The 27911-nt window shown below is 42.4% G+C and overlaps 1 protein-coding gene across 7 annotated transcripts in view, besides 1 other annotated feature; it reads left to right on the forward strand.

Annotated features, from left to right (window-relative positions):
• The window catches only part of INSC (INSC spindle orientation adaptor protein), a 158261-nt gene that overhangs the window by 2193 nt on the left and 128157 nt on the right, over nt 1–27911 (forward strand). For 4 of the 7 annotated variants that reach the window (XM_017017698.2, XM_011520086.2, NM_001042536.3 and 1 more), the window contains exon 1: nt 1315–1395. The exons of 2 other annotated variants lie outside the window; for them this stretch is intronic. The gene's annotated coding sequence lies outside the window, so the exon portion shown is untranslated. Of the gene's footprint in view, nt 1–1314; nt 1396–21162; nt 21196–27911 lie in introns of those variants that run through there. One more of the 7 variants, XM_017017697.2, reaches the window with a different exon arrangement.
• Nucleotides 489–1022: an enhancer, noted in NCBI's record as "H3K4me1 hESC enhancer chr11:15135643-15136176 (GRCh37/hg19 assembly coordinates)". NCBI's record gives its function as "activates a minimal SCP1, AML or CMV promoter by ChIP-STARR-seq in primed H9 embryonic stem cells {active_cell/tissue: H9 hESC(primed)}" and the evidence as "EXISTENCE:reporter gene assay evidence [ECO:0000049][PMID:30033119]".

Raw genomic sequence — 27911 nt, forward strand, 5'->3', positions numbered from 1 at the left:
AGGAACTGAGGCCCCTCTCAGGGAACTTGGGGAGTAGAATCAGGCTGTTCTGGATGACTGGAGGGTAGAGTTGAAGCTGGCTTGTCTGAGAGGAATGATTTGGCCACCTTCTGAGCCCTGGGCCCCCAGAGAGCTGAGGAGGAGAGTTAATATCAGAGAGCTACTGTGTGTGTTCGAGTCCAGGGAGCAGCAGTTAGCTTCAGCCAGAGCCTGAAAAAAGAAATAGAGATTATTAGCATTAAGGAAGAGAAGGCTGCAGTGGGACCTCGGCGTGGTCGTTTTGTCATGGGGACTGAGTTGAGCTCCTTCTCCCTGAATACATATTGTGAGCAAATTGACATAGTTTGCATGTGAGAGATTTAGGTTAGATGTCAAGGAGATCTTTCTGTCAGTAAGAGAGTTCAAGCTTTGGAACAGGGCTCAAGGGAGACCAGGGGCTGCCTTTGCTTGAGGACCTCCAAGAATAGGTCAAGATTCTCTGGGCTCTGGGAGCCTCATAGCAAGATGGCGGAGGCGGGGGAGGGGGAGTTGTATGAAATGATCTGGAAGCTTTCTTCCAGGTCAAAAATGCCACATTCCCGAGCTTTTGGGTAGGAATCAAGTTCCTCTAGATTTAGCTATTTGACAGAGTCCAGGACGGGGGTGGGGGGTGGGGGGTGGGGTCTGATCTTATGTGCCGAAGTTAGAAGGAGTTTCTGCAACAACCCCTCGTCATTTTTGGCAGGTCCAAGATGTGGAGGGTGACTTAGGTGTGTGTGAGCAAGGTTCCAGAGGGAAGCACCTGCGGTGAATAAACCGTCTCATTCTAGGCGTTTGGGGTCTATCAAAGCTGGGTGGCTTCCTCCTTCCTAGCAAGTGAACTGCACCCAAATCCCTCCTTGTTTTGTTTCAGCTCCAAGGGAAACGATCGCGGCACATTCCCTTCCCCTCTCCAGATGTTGGCATGCGGGGCACCTTGTGGGCGACCCCGCCTGGACGGCTTCGCGGCTCCCGGGCGATCACCCTGGTGCCTGCCGCCTGGCCCGGGGGAGCCCGGTCTCTAATTAGGCCTGACCGCGTCCCCATTCCAGCGCTCCTGCAGATGGGAGGGAGGGCCATGTTTCCCCCCCCAGGGGCACCGAAATAGCCTCGTAGTCCCGCGGAGACAGCAGGCAGCCGTGGCTGACGCGGGACCAAGGCTTGGCAGGGAGCGCGCTGCTGTGGAAGGTCCTTGGGAGGCTGCGACCGCCTCGGAGAGGGCGGGCGGGGGAGAACGGGGCGGGGGGTGGGGCGGGGGCCAGGGGCGGCCTCTCGGGCTGGGCCGGCAGAGCGGCCACTTTGCGCGCGGCCTCTGGAGCTCCAGCTGCGCCCCGCCACCACTGGCCGCTCGCACTACCAGCCTGTCTCGCACGCTAAGTAAGTAGACAGCTCCCCTAGCTGGATTCAGGGGGCTGGTGATGCCTCTGCTAGCCTAGTTGGGAACAGTGCAGGTTTGTCACTAATTGGATAGTAGGTGTAAGTGTGTCAGTGGGAGTGCTTGTGAAGGGGAGCTTGCGCCAGTGTGAGGGAGTGTGTCTGGATGGGATGTCCACATGTGGAATTTTCTAGCATGTGCCCCAGGGTGCGAGTGTGGGTGAACGAGTGTGTCAGAGTGTGTGGTGGCCTGGAGTGGGCCACAGGTATTTGCCTGTGTGGCACCTGCTGCCCTGGGTGCACTGTGTCTGTACCTGTGGAAATGCCTGTGTGTGTGGCAGGAAGGCCCCCAGGTGGGCTGAGCCAGTCCACATGTGGATGAGTGGATGTGCCAGTGTGAACCCAGGAAGGCAGAAATTGGGGCTAGGGAGTGTTATCTGAACTCAGGCTTTCTAAGGTGACCTGACTTGTCCCAGCTGGGGTGTCTTCTCTGTGGGTCATTCAGCTTTGGTTTCTCAGGGCTTGGAGAAGGACAGAAGCTCAGAGCCCTCACACAACACTGGAGTGAATGTGGCTCTGACTAACCCCATCTGGCTAGACCAGGGTCAGGGAGACAGCTTGGGAGACCCCACTCTTAAACCAGGAGAAGAGACAGGAGGCCAGGGGATGAGTGGACCATATGGCCATGGCCACCCACAAACACTCGCAGTGCACCCACGCTTACATGCTCAGCATACACACATTCCTGTCCATGTGCACCAGTCTTGCACACACTCTTCTCAGGATAGCCATGCAACCATTCACACTTTCAACATGTATACCTGTGGACAACGACATGTATGCAACATGCACCCACTTTGTTCAATGCATATGCGCAAATGTATCCCTGGTGTGGCCCCACCCTCAGCCGCTAGCCTCCTCCCACTTTTGCCCCTTTTAATCTATATATTATACCTCTGACAATGGGTCCAAGAAACTGGCCTCAGTGGGGAATATTTTAAGTCAGGGACTTTGGCTGTGGGGGTCAGGGCAGATGGTGATGTGGTGCCTTTGAGGGGTTCCATTGAATCTGAAACTGAGGCTGTCCATGGAGCTCAGCCAGAGAGCATCTTGTCCCTTTAGCTCTGGGACTTAGAAGCACTGTTCGCCCTTTTAGAAGTGAAAACTTCCAAACACTGCCTTTGGAAGGCAAGCCAGGTCAGGCTGGGATCTGACATGGAGCTCAGCATATATAATTTGCTCCATGCTGTAGTTTATACTCTGGATTACACTTGCTGCAGAGAAGCAGTGACCTTTCTGGGTTGGGTCCCAAGGCAACCATTTGGCAGGGAGGACAGTGAATTGAGCTGGGTTGATTCTTTCTCTTCTTTGGTTTCGTTCAACCCTACTTTGAGTCTCCCTCCCACAGGCTGGTGGAGGGATGGCATTTGCTCTGCTCCTTTCCTTTCTTCCAGTGGTTATCTTTTTTTCTGGACAGAATCTTCTCCATGACCTCCTCCCCCTGGTGACCACTGGGCACACACTATACAGCGCTTGGAAGAGTAGGTGCCCTAAAATACCAGCTGAGTGGTGGTGTTATTCTTCTTAGTAGAGCTTCTAGACCTGTCCCATCCTGGCTATTCTCTTCTGAATACTTCAGTGAGGTACCCAGACTAAATGTGCTCTTTCAGCTGGGAAGTTAGAAAGATGGTATTGAGCTTCCTTCCTTCCCTTCCTTTCTTCCTTCCTTCTCTTTCTCTCTTTTCCTTCCTTCCTTCCTTCCATTCTTTCTTTTTTTCTTCCTTCCTTTCTTTTCTTTTCTTTCTTTTCTTTCTTTCTTTCTTTCTTTCTTTCTTTCTTTCTTTCTTTCTCTCTCTCTCTCTCTCTCTCTCTCTCTCCCCCTCCCTCCCTCCCTCCCTCCCTCCCTCCCTCCCTCCCTCCCTCCTTCCTTCCTTCCTTCCTTCCTTCTTTCCTTCCTTCTTTGATGGAGTCTTGCTCTATCGCCCAGGCTGGAGTGCAGTGGCATGATCTCAGCTCATTGCAACCTCTGCCCCCCGGATTCAAGCGATTCTCCTGCCTCAGCCCCTGAGTAGCTGGGATTATAGACCCCCACCACCATGCCCAGCTAATTTTTGTATTTTTAGTAGAGATGGGGTTTTTCCATGTTGGTCAGGCTGGTCTTGAACTCCTGACCTCAGGTGATCTGCCTGCCTAGGCCTCCGATACTGCTGGGATAACAGGTGTGAGCCACCATGCCTGGCCTGAGTTTCTTCTTTCTTAGTGTTTATGGTTTAGTCTAAGGGGTGACTAAGCTCTCACCCACCAACTCCTCTAATATGCAGGAGAGCAAGTTGGGTTCAACCATTTTTTGAGGGGAATGCTGGGATCTAGCTTCTCTTTGGCCTGATCCTACACCTGACCCTTGGGAATGGTTAAAAAAGGGCAGGCTATGGTCAGTCCAGCAGAATAAAGGTGGCAGGGGAAGGAATTATTTTCCCATTGTGCTTCCCTTGTCACTCTGCTTGCTGGGAAGCTCTTAGTCCATCATATGGCTCTGTTGTAATAACTATGTTAGTTGGAACCATTGCTTTGACTTCTAATTTCTGCTTTATCAACTTTATAGAATACATATTTTTAACTGTAAACTTCCACATCCTTTGTTGAAGGAAATCAGAACAAATAAATGAAAAACCAGCAATTAAGCATTCTATTGGTCTCTGGGGATGGGAATCACACTGGATTTTCCTGGGACATCCTCAATTTCAAATATGTCATCTGGTTTTCAACTCATATGTCTCAATTTGGCTTCTGTACCTTTGAACTCTAATTGGTGACGATGTCTTGGAGGTTTTTTTCCTAGTAGCTCTGGGACATAATGCCCATCTCTGTGCTGGCTCAGACAAGGGGGATAGTTGAGAATGAATTGGGCCATTGATAAACACCCCCTGCTCCGAGTGTTTCAGCTGCCAGCTCTTCCCTGTCTCAAAAGCTCAAGTGTCTGGGTGCCCGAAGGAGTTTGACCCTTGCCCTAAGCCTGGCCCTGGCCCCGCAGCCACCCCTTCCTCATGTGACCCTGCCCAACTCAGGGCTCTCTGTGTCTCTTGGATCTGAGCCCTCCCCCAGTATGGAACACAACATCTCTGATCAGGGATGGCCCTTGTGGAACTGGAGCTTGGGATGGGGAGCTTGGACTTAGGAGTGTGGAGGAGCACATGAAGGGCTTTACTGCCTCCTTGCCTGGGTCTGTGAGGCTAAGTGGTCAGGGAATCATTTGTCACCTCTTATCTGCAGAGGTGCACCTCATCTGAATGCAGGGCAGGGTTCTAGCCACATTGCAAAGTTGGTGAAACTTCTAATTCACTCCAAGTCAAATTATTTTATGCTGCCCAAGACCACTCATGTTTGGAAAGGAGAAAGCTGGAGGGTAAAGCTTAGCAACAAAGAATGATTAGAATAACTTGAATGGTGGGCTTTCAGGCATTGCATTGAGGTCCTGCTTCTCATTATATCTTATGTCAACCCAAGCTGGTGGCCATTGCCTGCCTTCAAGATATATCCTCCCAGAAGCATTTGATCACAAGGTAGGAAAGAGGAAATCCCCTGTGGCCTGGTACTGAGTAATGTGCTGGTGGCTTGGTATGGGTGAGGTGTTTTTTCCTTCCCAGAAAAGTGTTATCTTAAAAAGGTAAGACTAAGACTGGACCACATCTCTGCTGAATTTTCACACTATTTAGACTCTGGTTGTCCCCTGGGCTTTAAGCTCAACCAAGTGAAAACAGGCTTAAAAGCCAGTAAGAGCATTGTGTGAGATAGTTAGGACTTCTGTGCAGGAAAGGTAACTCACAGTAACTCACTTTTATTTATTATTGACTACTGTCCAGCTTCCTTTTTAGGCTCTTTCCATCTTTTGTTTCATGAAACCTCTATACCAACTCTATGAAATAGTGAAGACTATTTTAAATATAAGGAAACAGAAACACAGCAAGGCTAAACAACTAGCCCAAGGTCAGAGCTAGCAAAGATTCCTTTCCAGATCTGTCTAACTCCAGAGTGTGTAGTGAATGTCCACTGACCACGAGAGATGCCGGCAACTCCCTCATTTCAAAGGCTTTCAAAGCAGAAAAAACTACTCCTTTGGGCAAATTGGGGAATGAGGCTAAGGGGCTTGACTTCTCTGTCTGTCTCCAGGACCTCAACGTGATCAGCATCATTGGCCTTTCCAGCCTCAGCTGGAGACTGTTGCTGTGTGAGAAGCAGGGATTGAAGGGGTGGGAAAGGCCTCCTGGGTTGTGTGGGGATCTCTCCCTCTGTCTTTCAACCCCCCACCAACATGCAGTGGGCAGTGTTGAACTTCTGTGCCTTCACTTCTCCATGGAGCAACCTCTGTCCTGGGAACCAAGCCTCTGCCCAGACTCTGCGATCTGGCCGGTCTGATCTCCCCTCCCCCAGCTCCAGGGTCCCCTCAGTGCCAAGCTCTGGGGGAGTCTTGGATGCTTTGAGGATGTCTTGGGGCAGATCAGACTCTGTTTGGTGTGATGCAGTGTCTGTAGGCGTCAGCAGTTTGGCTGGGTAGTTGTGTATACTGTTCACTTTCTGCTGGAGAAATGAAGGTTTTGTCTTACAAACCAAATATTCTGGGTTTGGAAACCATGTGAAATGTGGCCTGTGGTTGGAGGGTGTAAGCTACGTTGTGGGCCTGTGTGTGGTGCTGGATTTAAAGACACTGTTGAGGGACAGAACAATTGGCTCAGGCCATCTCACTTCTTTTGATGGAGGGTCAGAGGTGGGCGGTACATACTGGCAATGTGCGGAAAAGAGTGCACGGGCTTTGCAGCCAGACAGATCTGACTTGGAGCCTCAGTTTCCTCATCTGTAAAATGGGGTTCCTCATAAGGCAATGTGGTGCTTGAACTGGAAAGTTTATTTGAAATTCAGTGTCTGGCATAGAATAGGCAAACCATAAAATGCAATATCCTTCTTTCTTATGCCACCCACTTTCTGTGAAAGAACACCGGCCTAATTGGCACAAGATCTGGATTCCAGCTCTGACTCATCCTTGGGCACACTGTGTTATCTTGGGTTAAGTCACTTACCTTCTCTGAGCCTCCCTTTCCTGGTGCATAAAATGAGAGAACTCATTTCTCTCACTTCTCTGCATTTTCTGAGGATGATGAAAGAGACTAAAGTTAAGGGTTCTCTTGGAAGATCCAGAAAGTACAACCAAAACTGATTCATTTATTCATGCCTCAGTATTAATTGAGATCATTTGCTGTGCCAGGGTCTGTGCAAGGCGCTGGGGGTAGAGGTAAGTAGGAATATCCCGGGCTTCAAGTAGCAATCAGACCTTATGGCAAGGCAGACTTGTAAACAAATAAAGGCCTGTCTGTGGGGCATGATCAAATCAGGTACTAGAGGCACTAATGTAGCAGCAAGGAAGTGTTGTCTCCAACTGGGGCAGTCAGAAAGGCCTTCCCGAAAGTGTAAGTACTTGGTGTGGATCTTGAAAGATAACAGGAAGTTGCCAGGAAGAGGAGGACATTGTAGGTAGAGAGACCAGCACGTGTGAGGGCACACAAGTGTTGCCTAACGTGGTAAGTTTGGGGAATTTTAAGCAGTTAGCATAACTGGAGCCTATGGTGTGGGTGGTCAGTAGTGTTGGGGATGAGATGGAAGATGTTACAAGGAGCTTTGTATGGAGTCTGGTCTGGATTGCTGTCCTGAGATGTTTAGACTTTTTGTCATATTTATGGACAAGCACTGAGGTATTTTAAGAAGGGAGGGACATGATTGAATATGGGCTCACTTATTCATTCAACAAACATTTATTGAGTGCTTCCTATTTTTATGTCACTCTAAATTTTGACATATCAAATATAATAAAAATGTATAAGACTTATATAAGAAATCTCTCTTTATTCATGTTTCAACTGTTTACATGATCTTCCATTTACTTTATTAACTTTCATTCTCTCCAATCATGCAAAAATATTATTTTTATTATTTGCATATATTTTTATTGTTTATATAACATATTTCACTGTATATTTTTATAATATATTTATTGTTTTATTATATATATGAATACATTGAAAATGTTTATGTTTCTGATTAATTGAGGAGAAATTGGAGACATGATGCCTCTTTAGCCCCTATATCGTTAAGTATATATTTCCTTAAAAAGGATAATCTCTTACCACAGTGCAATTCGGTCCTAATAATGTCTTTATGGCTCCCCAATCTCCCTCACCTCAGTTAGGATCCAATCCATAGATTGCATTTAATTGTCATCTCTCTTTAGTCTCCTCAAATCCAGAGCAGTTCTGCTTTATTTATTTATTTTTTGAACTTTGTGTTTTTGAATAGCACAGGTCAGTTATTATGTGGAATATCTCTCAATTTGGTTATTGTGGATGGTTCTACATGATTAGATTCAAGCAATGCATTAGGGGCAGGAATACAACTGCAGTGAGGTTATGTCCTCTCCAGTTTTCATATCAGCAAGCACATGATGTGGGGATTGTCCCAGTGCTGGTGATGGGAGCTTTTATCACTTGCTTAAGAATAATGTCTGCCAGTTTCTCCACTGCAAAATTATTATTTTTTCTCTCTGGAATTAATAAGTAATTTGTAGTGAGATACTTTGAGACTGTGTATAACCTGTTCCTTATCAAACTTATACCCACTGATTTTATCATCGTTGATCATTTTGAATCAATTATTTCTTCCGTATTTAGTAGTTGGCATTCTACTTTAAAAAAATCTTTTCCCCACTCCCTCCCTTCCTATCACTAGGGTCTCATGAATTCTTCATTTATTCAATGGGTTATAGTCAATTATTATCTTTATTTTATCTCAATGTTCACATTGTCCCAAACTTGATTAGTGGGAGGCTCTGCAAGCTGGCTTTCTTTGTTTTTGATGCATCTCCATGATTCTCTGTGCTCTTCCTTACTATTTACTATAGCAAGAAGTTACAGGCTTAGTTTCCTTACTTTGCTACAGCCCTGGAATTAGCCATTTGTCTGAAGAGCCCTGGATCCTTTTAGTCGAAAATGGTATTTAGAAACCAAGATTTAAAGGCTACCTGTGCTCCTTGTGATTGGTGTGTCATCGTTTATATGCTCTCTTAGCAAACAGAGTTAGGACATATATGTATATTTATTTCTCCAATCAACCAATACAATACATTGTTACATGTTTTTAGAAGAAAAAACCCCAAAGACTGTGATAGAGAGTAATGGGGTAGGAATACTTTAGATTGGGTGGTTAGAAATGGCCTCTTTCAGGAGGCAATATTTAGACAGACAGCATGAGGTGGGTGAATGGATTGGAAGAAGAAAGAGCCTGGAGATTGTTTTAATTATTCATACAGTAATTACCAGGGCCTGAACTAAGTTCGAATGAAGAGGAGGTAGAATCAATAGGACACAGTGACCGGTGAATGCAGAAAGTGAGGGAGATGAAGGAGTCTAAGTGACTCCCAGTTTGATGCCTCAAAGGCCTCTCAAACTCAATGTGTCCAAAACAGAATTTCTGTAGTTCTTCATCCTACTGAAACCTGGTCCTCTTCAGGTATTTTAGATTTCGTTGAATGACTCCTTCGTCTGGGTAGCTGCACAAGGCAGACAGACCTGGCAGTCATCCTCAACACCTCTCTCCCTCAAAACCCATATCCAATCCGTCCCCATATCTTGTTGATATTAGCTTGTAAATATCTCTCAAATCTTTCACTTCTTTCCATCTCCACCAGCATCATCCTAGTTCATGGTACCATCTTCACATTTCTGGGGTACCACAAGAGCCCCCTGGTACCCTTATATCCACACTGGCTCCCCTCCAATTTGTTCTCCACACAGCAGCCAGAGCGCATTTCAAAACACAACTCTGTTCATATCATTTTCTTCCTTAAAAGTACATTAGTTGCCTCCTATTGATCTTAAGATAAAGACCACACTCCTTAATAAGTCCTACAAGGTCTTGCTTGCCTGGCCCTGCTGCCCTCTCCTACATCTCCCTACCCAGCACTCCCTCCCTGGCTCTCCCTGCCACACTGGCCTCAGCTGAGTCTCAGTCTCTAGGGCTTGTTAGGCTCCCTCCCACCATAAATCTTTGTATTTGCTGTTCCTCTGCTTAGAATGCTCGTTCTTCCTGACTCCACCTACCGAATTCCTGCTTTACTCTCAGTTCTCAGCTGAGTTGTCACTTTCATAATCTTCAGGACCAGGTCCAACCCCATTTTATAAAGTTTTAAAACATGTGCCTCCTTCAAGCCTTTATCATAGTTTCAATTTTACATTTATTTATGTAATCATTAATGCTTACTTTCTCTATATGATGATGAGCTCTGTGAGTGTTGGAACCATGTCTGGTTTTGCTCGTTACTTTATCCTAGCAGGTATCATGGTACCATGTTACTGACACATGCCACAAATATATGTTGAACAAATGAATGAATGAAGATTTATCATCTGAGTAACCAGATAGATGATGGAACCATTCAGTGGAATAAAAATGAGAAGAGAAGTAGATTTGAGGAGGAAAATGATCATTCATTTTGGGACACCTGGCATTTGGGGTGCCTGCCAACCATGTCTGTCCCTCAGAGACCTTACCATCTTCTGTACAAATTAAGATGTCACTAAGGAGCTTTTGGGAGGCTGGTGACAGGTACATCTAATTCCCGGATGATTCTAAGAAGGTCCCTGGAGGAGATGGCTAAGTCACAAGTGGCATCCCTGAGCTGTGGCTTCTCTATCTATCCTTATCTCTGGTTTGTAGACCATACAGGAGATAGAAGGGGTTCCCAGGTGGTCCTGACTTGGCTCCTTGGGGACTTGTATAAAATATCTTTACAATTCTATGGAAGACTCCTTGGAACAAATGATTCACATTTGTCAGGAGCTGTCAACCTCCTTCCTACCTCTAACACTGCACTAGACATATGCTTAAAGGAGAATACAGAAAGTGGGTCTTACTAAGTCCAGTGAGCCATCCTTTCAAAGATGTCATCAGCACTAGGACAGAACAGCCCATTCCATCCCTCTGACTCACTTACTCTTACATTCCTCACTCACTCATTCAACTTTCTATCTCCTCTTGTTCATTCACCCACACACCCATCTGTCACCCAGCTATCCATCCGTGAACAAGAGTTTATGTTGGATTTATAGCAGGACTCAAGGCTAATGCATTATCTTCAGCCCCACTCCTGTATCCCTCTTTTCTATGGTCCTCACAGCTCAGAATCCCAGGTGAGGAGACTGTCAGGGGTTGGGGAGATGTCACTGTGCTGGTCTAGGGCTGGGCTGGGTATGATTGCAGGGTGTCAGCAGGAAGAATGGGAGACCAGAAGTGGCCACACTGATTACTCCTCTTGGCTCACTATCTGCTTTTCTGGCTTCCCCTCTTTCATTGGTGATGAGAAATTAGAGATTAGGCTCCTTATTCAGGTAGATATAAGATAGACTGGGCTTTGCAGAGGTGTTAGGGGGCTCTGGCCTTAAGGGGAAATAGGAACACAGCTCCCCATGAGCCCTATGGTGGAAAAGGTGATGCTTTTGTTTTCTTCTTCATTTTAGACTATGATTGCACTTTGGCCCTGTGGAATTTGCAGAGAGGCTGGGGGAGGGTGGGAGAGTAGGATTTTAAAATGTGGCATTTAGAAACCAGGCAGTAGACTAATCCTGGCCCCATCCCCATAGAAGCTGTTCTTTCAGTTCTCTTAGGCTTGTCATTTACAAAGAGCTCCCTAGAATGTGTGCTGTCCATCTGCTTTGGCGGCTGACAGGGCTGGAATTGAGCAGGCATAGGACAATGACAGCCACATTAGATAACAGCATCTTGGAAAAATGCCTGAAGGTTGCAAGGGTCTAAGTTACAGACTCATTTGCTCATTCCCTCCCTCACGAATTCATTCATTTATCTACTTAGCACCTACCTAGTAGGTGCCATGTTTAAGTCTCAGCCCTGGAGATGTGACGGTGAGCAAAGCACATATTTCATGCCCTTAGAGGATTTGGTTTGGGAAGATGGACTGTAAACAGGGTACTATACACCATAAAAAGTGTGAATACCATGGAGAAATACGGAGAATAATAAGGGAGCTCCAGGGGTGGGAGGTGGTTTATATATTTATACAGGGTCAGGAGGTTTTCTCTGATAAGCAGGCATTTAAGCAGAGGCCAGGAGGAAGCTATGTGAATACTTGTTGGAAGAGAAGCCAAATAAAGGAAGAGTAAGTGCAAAGTCCCTGAGGCATGCTTGAGAAAGAGCCTGCCGGTCCATGTGATTGGAGTTAAGTGAGGGATGGGGAGAGTTGAAGGAGTTGAGATCAATGCAATAATGGGTGCCAGCTCATGAAGGCTCTTGTGGGTTATTTGAAGAACGTTGGCTTTTAATATGAGTGGTATAGTGAACATTGAAAAATTTCGAAGAGAGAAATGACATGCTATAGCTGCTATGAAAATAGTAGATTGTTACTGGGAGGAGAAATGAATTAGGAGCCTATTATAGTGATTTAGGTGAGAGATGATGGTGGCTAGGACCAAGGTCCACTTATTCATTCATTTATCTTTCATTTCATTTTCTATTCTACAGATGTCTCTGTAACCCTGCCTACATATGAGGCCCCTTAGCACTTTGTATCCATTCCTCTGTTCGACCCACTTCCATGATCTATCCAGCTATCCTTATTGCTTTCAATAAGTCTTTACCTGCTACTTGGAGAGCGTTGTGCCAGATGCTGGCTAATATGGGCATATTCTTGTGGGACTTTGGCCCTCTCAGGGAGAAAAGATGTACCCATAGGAGATCACCAGTCAGCTACAAAACGAAGCAAGTCTCTCGGGCTCAGGATGAATGGTGTCAACACTTCAGTGTTTTAGGAGCCCTATGGGCTGGAGGTCAGAGTAAGCTTCTGGGTGGAAGCCACATTTAAGCTGAGTCTTGACAGGTGGGGAGGGCAAGTCAGTTCTGAAGAATAACGGGAAAGTTGCTCTGAAGCTTGAACATAAGGGACCTGTTGGGGAATATTGGGTTGTAATGCTAAAAAGAGGTGGCATGGGCTGGAAACAGGGTCTGGAGAAGTACAAGCACCAGGCTAAGGAGTTCACATCTGAGTTGAGAGAGTTTGGGGAGACACAGGTTTTCAAGGAGATTTTACAATGAGAGCTGTGTTTTAAGAGGCTGAAACGAAAATCAGATGGAGGAATAATAGGCTGGGGACTCAGAGAGCAAGAAGACAATGGCCTTGTGTGAACCTGCTTGGCCTTTAGGCCAGCAGGAATGCTGAGGCTAGGAGTACTTCTGGGGCAGCTCCTAGATGCAATGGTGTGGGGCTTTATGGCTAACACAAACAGCAGGATATGGTAGTGGCAGTTCCTGGGACAAACCCTATAACTCGAAGCCACCTTTGAGCAAAGAACACAGAGAAGACTGGGTTCTGGGAAGAGCAAGCTGGAGAAAAATATTCAGGTCTGGGCTCTGGCCATGAATGACTCTTTTAGAAGCTTCTGGGGTCACTGGATTGTAGGAACATTAGATTCAGAGCAGGAGCTCATCTAATTCAGCCCTCTATTCTTATAGATGGGAAACTGGAGGCCCACAGTAGGGGCATATATTGTCTAAGGCACTATAGAACACTTGTTTCAGAGAAAGGTCAAGCATCTCATTGAACTCATGCTGGAGGAATTTCTATGTTTTATTTAATTATTCATTTACATATCTCTTTCAATGGGAATAAAATTTTAAGAAGAAGAAAATTGTTCTGTTCATCTCCTCTCTCATCTAGCTGAGGCTTGATACAGAACAGATGCTCTACCTGACCGCCAGGACCAACTGTCTCCCATCTTGACCCAGACAAAAGCAGGGTGTTAGGCTTGTCTCAGAGCTGGCCAGATGTGGAATCAGAAAGAGCTGCCTGTGGATGGGGATAGAGCCTGACTCTGGACCCCTTATGTATTCGTGAGGCTTGGCCTGTGACCAGTTTCTATCTCAGCTATGTCCTTGGTGACATCTCACTGGTGGTCCTGATCATGGCTGTTGCCATGAGGGGGCCTGCTGAGAGAGAGGAGAGGGAGGTTTTGGTGTGGCAAGGGGATATCTTGTGCCTGAGGCCACTGCAAGAGGAAAAAGCCCCTGCCCAGCTGGAGAGAGAACAGCCCACAGGGAGATTAACAGCCTCAGATAGGCACCTAGGATACATATTTAGGGCTTAAGGCCAGTGCTTGGTCTGGCCTGAGGCTGCTCCTGCAGGGACTTCACCAAACTCACATATTTGTTTTCTTGCTGTCCTAAGAAGCTTAAAGCCACTTCTTTAAGAACAGCCTCTCCGTGCAGTCTGCAAAAGTCTATGGCTTAACATCAACAAGATTTCAAACCGAAGTGTCTTTTGATGCACCTCCATCTTTGCATTTAGGATCCTAGTGGGGAGGGCTGAAGCTGGAGATTTCTTGAAAAGTCAGAGGGATTTGGGCCGTAGATCCTGCCAACCTAGGCACCAGGGTTCGCGTCAATGCTGGATGAGTAATTGGTTCTTAAGCTCTTGGTCAGCATCCTGTCCTGTTTGTCTTGTGCTGTATACTTGGCAGAGGGCTTCCACATGGAGAGTAGTGAGTTATACTTGTGAGCAAGCTTACTTGTAGGCACAGGAAAATAAATACTCCCTCATTGCGTTCCATGTTCCTCAGAGAATATCCTGGGGAGGCAGTGGTGTTTTCTTCAGTTGTGGGGTCATTATGCCCTTCGGGGTAGCAGTCATGGATCAAGCAAGGTGGATGGAACTTGGATGGGTGAAATTCTAGAGGGAGACTAGAGAGAACTTGAGTTCACAACATAGCAAAACCCTGTCTCTACTAGAAATGCAAAAATTAACTGGGCGTGGAGGTGTGCGCCTGTAATCCCAGCTACTGGGGAGGCTGAGGCAGGAGAATTGCTTGAACCAGAGAGGCAGAGCTTGCAGTGAGCCGAGATCGTGCCGTTGCACTCCAGCCTGGGTGACAGGGCGAGACTCCATCTCAAAAAAAAAAAAGTGAAAGAAAGAACTTGAGTTCTAATCTGGGTTCTACCACAAATTTGCTGTGTGACTTGGACAAGTCATTTATCCTCTCTGGGCCTCAATTTCCTTTTGTGCAAAGTACAGAGTTGAAAAAAAAAACATTTCTGAGAACCTTTTTTGTATAACATTCCAGATCTCTTGCTTACATTATGCCAATAGGAATTTTGGTTAGGACCCTGTCTTCTGGATTTCTATCCCGCCAAATGGCTGATTTTTCACTTTGCCTGAATTATATCTTTCACTCCTTTGGTCTTTTAAGAGATTTATTTATTTATTTTTTTCCACAGACCATATTGCCTAACAAAATCCCTCCTATTTTCATGGAATCATATGGGGATACAAAGTGGTGTCATAATGTCATATCCATTATTATATTTTAGTTTTTACAACAAATGTGCCAGGTAATCAAATGTATATTATTATCCCCAGTTTGCAAATGAGAAAAGAGGCCAAGAGAAGTTAAGTAACTTGACTAAGCTTATGCAGTTAGTTACTGGCAGAGCTGGGGCTAGGCTGAAGGTTTCTTCTCTGCTAGTCTGTGTTTGGTTGTATCACTTTTTGGACTTGGGAAGGGGCATCATAAGGACTGCATGGGATAGGGCTTGTGGGATTCACCAGGTGACAGAATTATCAGGATGAGAGAACCTGCCACCACATACCTGTACCATGTAAGGTTGAAATGTTCTTAGTCTGGGGTAGCCCTCACCCACCTGGACCCAGAGGTGAGGGGGTAGGCTGGCCCCTGCGCCCAGCTATGCAAAGATTAGGGCTGCAGCAAGCCCTCTGTGGCAGCTTTTACCGACAGTCCAGCCCTGCTGTCTGCTGTGTTAGCAGGGTGGTGGGTATCTGGCCAGTGCCTCTTAGTTAACCTTCCCTTCTTCATTTTAAGAAGCTTTTTTATCTGCTTGGTCCTGGAGCTAGGCTGGCTCTTTCTGGCTGCAGAAAGGGGCTTTTAAAGTAACCCTCTTAGTTTATTTCTCTCTGGGCCAATCCAGCCAGATCTTTGCTTGGGGCAAGAGGGAACCTCAAGGGTAGAAGTATGTGAGCAAGAAGGAGCTCTCCCCTCACATACCAGTCAAGAACGACTGGACATTTTCTGCCTCCCCAACCCCATTCACTTTCTATTTGTAATTTGGGATCTGTGTGTGAGAGCTCTGAATAGGTTGCCCCCCATCTTCCCCTCCTTTCTCATTAATCAAGTTTCCATATTTTCTTGGGTCTATTTAGGGGCTTGCTGTTCTGTTCTCTATGTTTATTCCAGGGTCAATATCCCACTGTATTTATTAGTTTTTAAAAAGTCTTATTATCTGGCAGGAAAAGTCTCTCCAATTTTTTTCAGAAATATTTTGGCTACACATTTCAGATTCAACTTGTCAAGTTCTAGAAAAAAATCCTATAGGGAATTGATTGGAATTGGACTGAATATTTAGATCCGTTTATGGCGAATTAACATTTCCCTATCATATATATGGTATTTCATATGCATGAATTATCTATTAACTTATCTTGGCCTTCTTTAATATCATTTAATAATGTTTTACAGTTTTCTCAAGAAGGGACTTGCACATGCTAAGGTTCATTTCTATGGCCCTCACATATTTTTGTTGCTTTGTTAATGACCTCTCTTCTAAATTTTACTCTGTTTATGCTGGTATCTAGAACTATACTTGACTTTTGAATATTCATTTCTGACCAACTTTCTAAAACCTTATATCAATTAAAATAATTTTTTTGTAGATACCCTTGGATTTTCTACATAGAGAATGAGGATGAATTGCTACTTCATATGTTTTCATAAGAATTAGGGAAAGGTACCGTGTCTGCAGGGACACAGACCCATGGACACCTGGCTTGCCAAGTGGACTGCAGGTCTGTGCCTGGTGGAACCAGCCCTGTGTTGGGGTGGCTGGATGAACACAGCAGAGGCCAGATTCAGACTCCTTGCTCTTCTGGCTGTGTGCTGTTATGCACAGGCAGATGTGGCTGCCTGTGGAAAACCACGTCAGCTGCAAATAATGACAGTTTTCTTTCTTCCCATTCTAATACATTTTCTTTCTTTCTGTACTAGCTAAGATCTCTAGCACTATAATGAGAAGAAATTGTTGAGAACTGGGCATCTTTATTTTGTTTCTGATCTCACAGGAAATGCTTTCATTCAACATGTCATCAAGTATATTTCTTGTGGTATATATTTTTCTTGGTAGATGACCTATAATCAGTTTAAGAGATGTCTCTTCTATTTCTAGTTTGCTAAAATATTTTATGAATAGCTGTTGAATTTTATCAAATTATTATTCTTCATCTGTTGAGATGGCCGTAAGGTTTTTTCCTTCTTTATGTAGTGAGTTTCACTGATCTGTTTTCTAATGTTAAAATAACCATGTATTTTTAGGCTAGATCCAACTTAGCCATGATATACAATCCTTTTCACATATAGTGGATTTTGCTTGCTAGTATTTTGTTTAGTATATTTTCATCTATGTTTCTATATGAGATTGGCCTGTATATTTCTTTTCTTGTGTTGTTCTTGTTCAATTTTAGTATCAAAGTTATTTCAGCCTTATACAATCACTTGAAGTGTGTTTTCTCTTTTCCTATTCTGTGGTAGAGTTTGGTTATTTTTCCTTTGAATGATATAAACTCATGCTTCTCTGGGTTTGGTGTTTTCCTTACGGGAAGATTTTCAACTATTGATGAATTCTTTCAGTGGTTATAGATCTATTTTTTCTTGAATCAATTTTGGTAAATTTTATTTTCTAGGAATTTATCTAACTTATTTATGTTTTCAATGACATTGCATAATATTCTCTTATCTCTGCTGCATCTGTAGAAATAAACCTCTTTTATTGCCAATATCATTTATTTGTTTCCTCTTTTTTCTGATTTTTTCCAGATCTTGCCAGCAGTTTATTTTATGTTTTCAAAAACCAACTTTAGTCATTTTGTTTGTTTTGTTTTGTATTTTGATTTGTGTTTTATTTAATGTTTGTTCCTATCTTAATTATTTTCCCTCTGATACTTTCTTTAGAATTATTTTCCTCTTTTTCTAAGTTTCTTAAGTTGGAGATTATTATGTTGGAGAAGTTGGAGATTCTTTGAATTTTCAGATTTTTTTCTAATTTAAGTATTTAAGTCTATAATTTTTGTTCTCAGTTCTATTTTATCTATATACTACATGATTTTTAATATGTCTATTTTCATCATCATTCAGGTTTATTTTCTAATTTCTGCTGTAATTTCTTCTTTGACCTATTGCTTGTATGTTTAAAAATATACAACTGTATGGGGTATTTATGTTGGGGTAGAGATTGCAACCCCAGTGTCAATCTTCTGAAATTTGTTGAGGCTTGCTTTAAGGACTAGAAAGTAGTTGATTAAAAAAAAAAGAATGATTCATGAGTGCTTGAAAATAATGTGTATTCTGGGTGTTCTATTCATGAATATTAATTCTAACTTAAATGTGCCATTCAAATATCCTATATCCTTACTGATCATTTTCCTGCTTGATCTATCACTCAGTGACAGAATTGTGTTGAAGTGTATGTGATTCAGGACTAGTTCATTTCTCCTTGAAGTTTTATCAATTTTACTTTGCATATCTTAAGACTATGCTATTAGGTATATCATCATTATTATATTTTCTTAATGGGCTGAACTTTTAATTTTTATATAGTGAATCTCTTCATTGCCTTAAAGTTTGTTTTGTATTATATAAATACATTAGCATCAGATTTCTTTAGGTAAGTATTTTTATGGTATATCTTTTGTGGCCTTTAACTTTAAGCTATTTTAGGTCTTTTTGTTTTAGGGATATGTCTTGTAGCTAGCACATAGCATGCACAACTTCCAACCCCCTCCATGTAATGCACCCTTAATAATCTCTGCTTATAACTGGATAGTTTAGCTCATTTCCCCTTAATGTGATTACTATTACACATTGATATTCCCTTTTACATACTTTCTTTCTTTGTTTGGATTAATTTTTAAAATTTATTACTCATTTATTTTTTCCTCCTCTACATAGTTGGAGGGAATTTTCTCTTTCTCCATGTCTGTTCTTTTAGTTAATTACTTTGGATATTATAGCATTAATAATAATCTAAAAAGCCTAAATTTAATTTATATCTCTATTTTTCTTCCCCCAAAATAGAACCTTGGAGCACTTTAAATAGCTTTAGTCATATTCTTCTAAATTCTATACAATATTTTAGATTCATCGTTTCTTATCTCAAAAATGAGGGATTATAATTGTTTCTTTTTTCTTTATTTGGAGGCAGGGTCTTGCTCTGTTGCCCAAGCTGGGGTACAGTGGGGCAATCACAGCTCACTGCAGCCTCAACCTCCTGGGCTCAAATGATCCTCCCACCTCAGCCTCCTGAGTAGCTGAAAACACAGTTAGGAGTCACTGCACTCAGCTAACTTTTTAAATTTTTGTAGAGATGGAGCCTGCACTATGTTGCCCAGGCTGATCTTGAACTCTTGGGCTTAAGTGATCCTCCTGCCTCAGCTTTCCTAAGTACTGGAATTACAGGCATGAGTCAACGTGCCCGGCCCTGTAATTGTTTCTTAGTTAAAGTTTCTTTGGATTTACCCACAGTTTCAAGCAAGTTTGCTCATCACTCTTTCTTGTATCTCAAACCTTCCATATGATATTACATTCTTTCTGCCTGAAGCAAATCCTTCAGAATTTCCTTTAGTGTGGGATTTTTGGTTGTCTGAGAATGCTTATATTTCATACTTATTCTTGAAAGATAATTTCTATGGATATGGAATTTTGGGACAATTATTTTCTGGCATAATATATTTTCCTGTTGTCTGCTGAGTTTCATCATTGTTATTAAGTGGTCATCTGTCAATCTAGTTTCCTTTTTCCTTTGATTGCTTTCAAAATCTTTTGTCTTTGGTGCTCATTAATGTTATGAGTTGTCTAGGGTGTGTATGTATATGTTTTGTATTTATCTTGCTGGGGATTCATTGGGATTTCTGAATTTGAATATTGTTTTGTCTTTCAAAAAATCCAGGGAACTGAAATTTCAGCCACTGATTCTTTGAATATCACCATTTCCCCCATTCTCTCTCTTAACTTTCTTTGCAAATATGATGAAATACTTGTTAGATCCCATCACTCTATATTTCTTAGCTTTAGTTCTCTCGTATTTTTTCTCTCTTTGTCTCTCTGGACTGCGTCTTGGTTAAGTTCTTTTGTTCTGTCTTTTAGTATACCCATCCATTTTTTAGCTGTGATTAATCTGCCCAATGAGTTTTTCATTTTAATTATTGTATTTTAATGTAGAAAAGTTCTATTTGGTTCTTTCTCAAATTTTCTTGGCCATATTTTATAGCCTTTGTTCTTCGAAAATGTTTCCATGACTCTCTTTTATTTCTTTAAATTCTCTAATCAAGTCCCCTGTCCCCACAACAGATAATGTAAATTCAGGCCACAAGCCTATCTGAGGCCCATATTGTGGTCATTAATTCTCAACTCTCATTGTTGACAATGTTGACATAGACGGTTTATTTTCCATTTACTCTTAAACTGAGTTTCTGGTTTTCTGGATCCCTGTTTGATTCCTCCCCTTGGAAAGTTCCTAGGCTTTATCACATGTCTCCTTGCCCTGTACACATAGGAAACAGAAGTCCAGAGAATACAACATTCAACAGATGTTCTCAGGAAAAACAAAACAACACAACAACAAAAAACTCCCTTGAACTCTTGCTTAGGTTTCCTGGTTCTTCTTTTGCTTTACTTTTGGCCTCTCCAGATTTCTTACACTTTTGCCAGCTCAGTAATATATTTAAAAAACATTAAAAGCATCATTATTCATCCTTTAAAATTGTTCTTATGGAGAAGTATTTAAAGTATCTGGGCTACCATATTGTTGGAGATAACAATCTTGTATGAGTTTACTTTATAAGGAGAAGGATTAATTGTCAATTAAAAAGCAGGTGCTAAAAATAGTGGCTTGATATGCCTCTCTAAAAGAGAAGGTAAGTCTTCATCCTCATCCAGCATGTTAGCTGTGTACCTTAGAAAATTATTGAAGCTCTCTGGGTCACCATTTCCACTTTTTAAAATGGGGATAATAGTAGTACTGATTACTTTGGACGTTTGGAGGAATATGTGTAAGACACTTAGAAGGGTTCTTGGCACATAGTTAAGTGCCTAATACCATATTTCATTGGATTTAAGATGCTATATATTGTAAGATCCCTGTTACTTCATGAAAAAGAAAATATGGTTCCAATTGAACGATGACACAATGCCAAGATGCCATTGACTGAAGCATACATCCCAACTTTGGTTGTTAAAATATGAAAAAAAGATATCTTAGAATGACCTGACTATAGTAAATTTTAGCTATTACTATGAATGGATGCATATGAGCAAAAAAGGCAGTGGTTGAGAAACAGAATCTTAGTCTCAGAATTGATAGGACTTAAATGTTTGTAGGTATTTACTCCATTCCACCATGATCCCATTAATTTTTGGACTCTGGCTGTATTGTGCACGAGTTTACTTCTTTGTCCAGAGGGCTGTCATTAGACAAACAAAATATTCCACCATCTCCTCCAGCACTGAGGAAGAAGTGACTTCCATGTGTGTAGCACATTCATAGGTGCCTTATATAGAGCATTTACTTTAGTTCTCACAATTAGTCTCATTAATTAAGACTAGTTGCTATGACCCCCCAATATTAGTGGCTTAACATGTTGTTTATTTCTTGCTTACCCCGCAGATTGATGTGGATTAGGTGGCTCTACTCCAAGCTGTGAGTCAAGTCTCATCTTCCTCCTTTATTTATTTATTTATTTATTTATTTATTTTGCTTTGCCATATTGTGGCTTTCAGGTTGCTTTGGCATCACTCAACAGGTAGAAAGGGGAAGAGAGAGGGAGCATCAAGAAGGTACACCTTCTATTATAATATAATTTAAAATTCTTTTTTAAGACCTTACCACTTTCTTTATTCCTATTTGGAGGGAGAAATTAGTGTAAGTTAGGGTGTTTGAAGAGAGCTGCCAAATGAGGTGAGATTAGAGATGAGTCCTGAGGCATTGGAATTACTTGGAGATAGAAAAGAGAATTGAGGGATTTCAGTCAGGATGTGCTGGGGTGCCATGACCAATGCATAGAATTGTGGAAGTGCAAGATGTTTTTGGAGCATCATAGAACACTCTGTTGGTGGAAAGATTAACATTTATTGGGCTCCTACTCTGTGTTAGACACTGTGCAAAGCACTAGACCTAAACAAGTCTTGATAAAACAGTATTCTGCAAATGGGTTGTTTTTCATGTTTGATCCATTCTGTGCCCCAGATAGATGTGGATCATGTGGCCCATGTACCTTATACCCCCTGTTTCCAAACATAAAGGATTCTTTAACTGAAGATGTTATAACAATGACAACATGATTTGCTGAGAATGATTGTGTTGTGCTCACACTCTGGGATATTCTGTTATATACAGTGGTTGTAGAATAGGTGATGGTTCTGTCTTTTGTCCCTTTCTGTTAATGAGCTGGTGAGAACTCTTCACCCTTGTGGCCGAGCCAAGGTTTTGGTTCAGTCTGGATTCTCCTTTGAATGTCCCATACTACTTTGGTCACATAGGATGTGAGCTGTGATATTAATTGTTTCTTCTGGGTCAATTTTACTAATCACAGAAAATGTCTTAGTGTTTTTGTCTGTGTTTATTCAAAACATGGTTTATTTCTTAGTCCATTTTGTGCTGCTATAACAGAATGTATAATAGAATGGCACAGACTGGCTAGTTTATAGTGAACAGAAATTTATTGGCTTACAGTTCTGGAGGCTGAGAAGTCCAATATCAAGACGTCCATGGGTTTGGTATCTAATGAAGCCATTCTCTTCTCCCATGGTGATGCCTTGCATGCTGTGCTCTTTGGGGGAAGGAAGACTAGATGCTCACATGACGGAGGTAGAAGGGCCAAGAAAGTGAATCCACTTATGTAAGGCCTTTTTCTAATGGTATTAATTCATTCATGAGGGCTCTGCTCTCATAACTTACAGGCATAACTTGGAGATATTGCACATTCAATCCCAGACCACTGCAATAAAGCCAATATTACAATAAAGAGAGTTACACAAATTGTTACATTTCCCACTGCATATAAAAGTTATGTTTATACTATACTGTAGTATATTAAGTGTGAAATAAAATTATGTCTATGTCTAAAAACAATGTACATATATAATTAAAAATACTTTATTGCTGAAATGCTAATGATCATCTGAAGCTTCAGCAAGTCATAATCTTTTTGCTGGTGGAGAGTCTTGCCTGATGTTGATGTCTGCTGACTAATCAGGGTAGTGGTTGCTAAGGTTGGGGTTGCTGTGGCAATTTCTTAAAATAAGGCAACAGTAAAGTTTGCCACATCAATTGACTCTTCTTTTTATGAAAAATTTCTTGGTGGTATGCGGTGTTTGATAGCATTTTACCTATAGTAAAACTTCTTTCAAAATTGGAGTTAATCCTCTCAAATCCTGCCACTGCTTTATTAACTAAATTTATGCTATGTTCTAAATATTGTCTCTTCACTAGGAGTAGATTACATCTCAAGAAACTTCTTTCTTTGCTCATCCATAAGAAGCAACTCCTCATCCATTTAGTTTTGTCATGAGGTTGTAGCAATTCAGTCATGTCTTCAGGCTCCACATCTAATTCTAGTTTTCTTGCTATTTTTAACCACATCTGCAGTTACTTCCACCACTGAAGTTTTGAAACTCTCAAAGTCATCCATGAGGATTGGAATCAACTTCTTCCAAATTCCTGTTAATATTGATATTTTGACCACCTCCCATGAATCATGAATGTTCTTAATGATATCTAGAATGGTAATTGCTTTCTAAAAGGATTTCAATTTATTATGCCCAAATCCATCAGAGGAATCACTATCTATGGCAGCTACAGCCTTACAAAATGTATTTCTTAAATAATAAGACTTGAAAGTCAAAATTACTCCTTGATTCATGGGCTGCAGAATAGATGTTAGCAGTGTGAAAACATTAATCTCTTTCCACATCTCCATCAGAGCTTTTGACAACCAGGTGTATCATCAATGAGCAATAATATTTTGAAAGGAATATTTTTTTTCTGAGTGGTAGGTCTTAGCAGTGAGCTTAAAATACTCAGTAAAACATGCTATAAACAGATGTGCTGTCATCTAGGCTTTGATGTTACATTTACAGAGAATAGGCAGAATATATTTTGCATAATTTTTAAAGGCCCTAGAACTTTTAGAATGGTAAATGAGCATTGGCTTCAACTTAAAGTCACCAGCTATATTAGTCCCTAACAAGAGAGTCAGCCTGCCCTTTGAAACTTTGAAACCAGGCTTTGATTTCTCCTCTCTAGCTATGAAAGTCATAGATGGCATCTTCTTCAAATATAAGGCTGTTTTGTCTCCATTGAAGATCTGTTGTTAAGTGTAGCCACCTTCATCAATAATTTTAGCTAGATCTTCTGGATAACTTGCTGCACTTCTCCATCAGCACTTGCTGCTTCACCTTGAACTTGTATATTATGGAGATGGCCTCTTTCCTTAAACCTCATGAACCAACCTCTGCTAGCTTCCAACTTTTCTCCTGTAGTTTCCTCACCTCTCTTAGCCTTAATAGAATGAGATTGTTAGGGACTTGCTGTAGATTAGGCTTTGGCTTAAGGGAATGTTGTGTCTGGTTTCATTTTCTATCCAGACCACTCAAACTTCCTCCATATCAGAATAGGCTGTCTTGCTTTTTTGTCATTCATGTGTTCACTGAAGTAGCATTTTTAATTTCCTTTAAAAATTTTTCCTTTGCATTAACAACTTGCCTAACCGTTTGGCACAAGAGGCCTAGATTTTGGCCTATCTGGGCTTTTGACATGCTGTCCTCACTAAGCTTAATCATTTCTAGCTTTTGATTTAAAGTGAAAGATGTGTGACTCTTCCTTTCACTTGAACATTTAGAGGGCATTGTAGGGTTTGTAACTGGCCAGATTTTAATATTGTTGTATCTTGGGGAACAGGGAGCCCAGAGGAGAGGGAGAAAGATAGGGGAACAGCAGGTTGGTGAAGTAGTCAGAACACATACAAAACTTATTAGTTAAGTTTGCCATCTTATGGGGGTGCAATTTGTGACCCCCCCAAAACAACTACAATAGTAATATCAAAGATCACTGATCACAGATCACCACAGCAGATACAATAGTAATGAAAAATTGGAAATATTATGAGAAATTACTAAAGTGTGACACAGAGACATAAAGTGAGCACATACTACTGGAAAATTGGCACTGATAGATTTGTTTGATGCGGGTTTGTCCCAAACCTTCAATTTGTAAAAAAAAGAAAATAAAAAAGCAGTATCTGCAAAGCACAATAGAGTGAAGTGCCCCAACTCCCAACACTGCCCCACTGGGGATTAGGTTTCAACCTATGAGCTTTGGAGGGGAAACACTGAGCCACAGCAATCTCTATGTGCTAGGTTTTAAATCATATCTCTTCTATGGGACGCTTTGCTTCTTTCCAACATATTTAATATATTTTGCTTTTTAATTCTCTCTAGTGGAAAGCAGCTCTTTGGATCTGAAGTCTGGATAGGAAATGGATCCTTCATTGCCACAAAGATGGATATCATAAAACTTCTTATGGAGTACCATTAACTAGCCTGCTGGGTCAAAGTAGCTTCTGGTATTATTATTTCACTTTCTCTGAAATATCATGCAGGCTACATCATCTTGTGTAATTTTGACCACAACCCTGAGGATAGGTTTTTTTCCCATTTTACGGATGTAGAAGCTGAAGGTCAGAGAGGCCTTAGTAAGAGGCAAAACTGGGATTGGAATCCCAACCCTGAACTTTTGGATTTTCGAGACCTCACCAGGCTACCTTCAAATGTTATTGAGCAAACTCCAATTTAGAGGATTTGAGGAAGAAATAAAATCAGAGAAGATTGGATTATCATGGTTGTTGATGCAATGCTGTCATTTGCTCAAGGCTTTAGATTTCAGAGAAAATCATATTTGTGAAGCTATAAGAGATTGTACAATTCTTTCTCCTATGTCATTTTCCCAAGGGTATAAAGACCCCTCCAACCTGGGTCCTCATAATGACTCAGAAAGGGAAATAGCTTGCCCAGTGTGCCCTTTGAGTATGATTTATGAAACAGGATGTATCCAAATTTTCACCACGTTGGAGCGATTCAATTTTCTCTAATGGCCTTTATCTGAGAGTTATGTCTATTCGTGGCAGTCACAACCAGTAAGTCATTAGCTTAAAGTATGCTGATTGTTAATTTTAGCACCCTGGGCCCTGGGCCCAGTGGGAGAGGTCTCTCACTTTTGCAAATCGAAGCTAAGGAACATTTGAGCAGTTGGCAAACATTCACATTAGGAAAAGTTAGAAAGTAAGAAGGAATAATTTAAAAGTTAGAATAAGAAGCAGTAGAATTGTTGGAGCTGAGGAGGCAACAGGATAGCTTTTTTCTGGCTGCCTCCCAACTGCTAGGCGCTGTCCTCACCAGAAGAGAGGTGGAACCAGTCTTTAGATCAACACCTACTGTGTGCCAGGCACTTCACATATGTGAGCTCACTAATGTGCCTAGCATTCTTATTTTATCCTTATTATAGATCCCATTTTATAGATCAAAAACATAATGCTCAAGGTCACACAGCTATTAATGGATGGAGCTCACATTTGAACCTGGGCAGTTGACTCCTGAATCTCTATTCTTAACCAACAGAGCTCTGGATGAAGGTGGCTAAAAGGGCCAACCAGGCCTCCCTTGGAGCTACATTTTGCCTAAGATCTTGAGATCTGGGCACCAGATTCTCACTTTTGATCATTAAATAATTTTCAGCTCAGAGCTAGCTCCCAGAATGCCAGTAAGTGCAGCTTTCTTCTGTGGCTTAGGGCTGGGAGCTCCTCTGATGAGTAGCTGGTCAACCAGAGCCCCAGAGCCAGGAATGGCCCACCCTGAGACACAAGGTGAAGACAGCCATGGCTTTCCTGATTCCAGGAGCCTGAGCTTTCCTCTGAGATGGCCACACAAGCTCCTTCGGGGGTGCTGCTTGGACAAGCTGGAGCTCTCTAGAGGATGTGTATTCATATAAACCAGGTGCTGGCACACATGGGCATCAGTGAGGACACCTTGACACTGGGCTCCTCTCTCTCTGACCTCTGGGGACTCATGGGCACTTCTGAGTTAACCTGCCTGTCCCATTCCAGAGCTGAGCTGAGTCTGAACAGGACTCATTAATTTCCCTGCCCACTCTTTATTTCCTCGTACTTGATAACCACAGCAAGGGAAAAAGTGCAAGCGTACTTGCGCTTTCCCAGTTTTACAGGTGGAGAACTAAGGCTCCATTGACTTCCTATGGTAAACCACTCTGAGGTGCTGGTGGGCCTGTTCACTCCAGCCAGGCAAAGCCTTATTTGGATTTCCCATGGTTGGAATGAGGAAGCCTGTGTGCATGTCCCAGGTGTAGCTTGGCTTGCTGTGTGACCTCAGTTGGTGTCTTATTCTTTTTTTTGATTTCTTTCTTTCTTCTTTTTTTTTTTTTTTCTTTTAGAGGTAGGGTCTTGCTCAGGCTGAAGTGCAGTGGCATAATCATAGCTCACTGTAACCTTAAATTCCTGGGTTCAGGCAGTCCCCCCACCTCAGCCTCCCCTGTAGCTGGGACTACAGGAATGTACCACCATGCCCCATCTAATTTTTCTTTTTCTTTTTTTGTAGAGATGGGGTCTTGCTATGTAGCCCAGGCTGGCCTCAAACTCCTGGCTTCAGGTGACCCTCTTGCCTCGGTCTCTCAAAGTGCTGGGATTGCAGGTGTGAGCCACTGCACACAGCCTCTGTTCTTCTTTTGAACTTGTCTCTCCATTGTCCATGTTAACCCGTCTGTGCTTCTGGCTCCTCATCTGAAAAATGGAGATAACAATAGTGAACTACCTCATGGGGTTATTTTGAGGACTAAATGTAAAGCATTTAGAACAGTGCCTTATACACAGTAAACACCTAAGAAGTGTTTCTCCCTGTCTGCCTCCTCTTCCTCCTCCTCATTATTATTATTACTACAAGGGGGTAATCTCTAAGGCCCCCCTACTAGTTCTCATACTCTGAGAGTATAATGTGAGCTCCTCCAAGAAGGCTGCCTGGACATTGCCCAGGAGCTGTAGTCTTAGCCCTGTCAAGTTGATGGACATATTTGTGTAGATGAGATTCCTATTGCCTTCTAGGTGAGGCCTAAAAGGTAGATGTATCCAATTAATCAGGTGGAGGCTTGGGACCTTGTCTGAGCTTTGTTGAAACTATTTTGGCTCCAGAATTGAGGGGCGGAACAAAGGTCTGGGTGGGGCCCGCTCTACCTGATGCAAGTCGTTCTGGGCTATCCAGCCAGGGTCTCAGGTCCTGGAGAGGATTCAGCCCTGCTCTGTGAGTCCTGAGGTCTGTTCTGCCTACTTGTTGGGCTCTGACACCTGACAGCTG

This window comes from Homo sapiens, chromosome 11, assembly GCF_000001405.40.
Source record: "Homo sapiens chromosome 11, GRCh38.p14 Primary Assembly".
NCBI classification, from domain to species: Eukaryota; Metazoa; Chordata; class Mammalia; order Primates; family Hominidae; genus Homo; species Homo sapiens.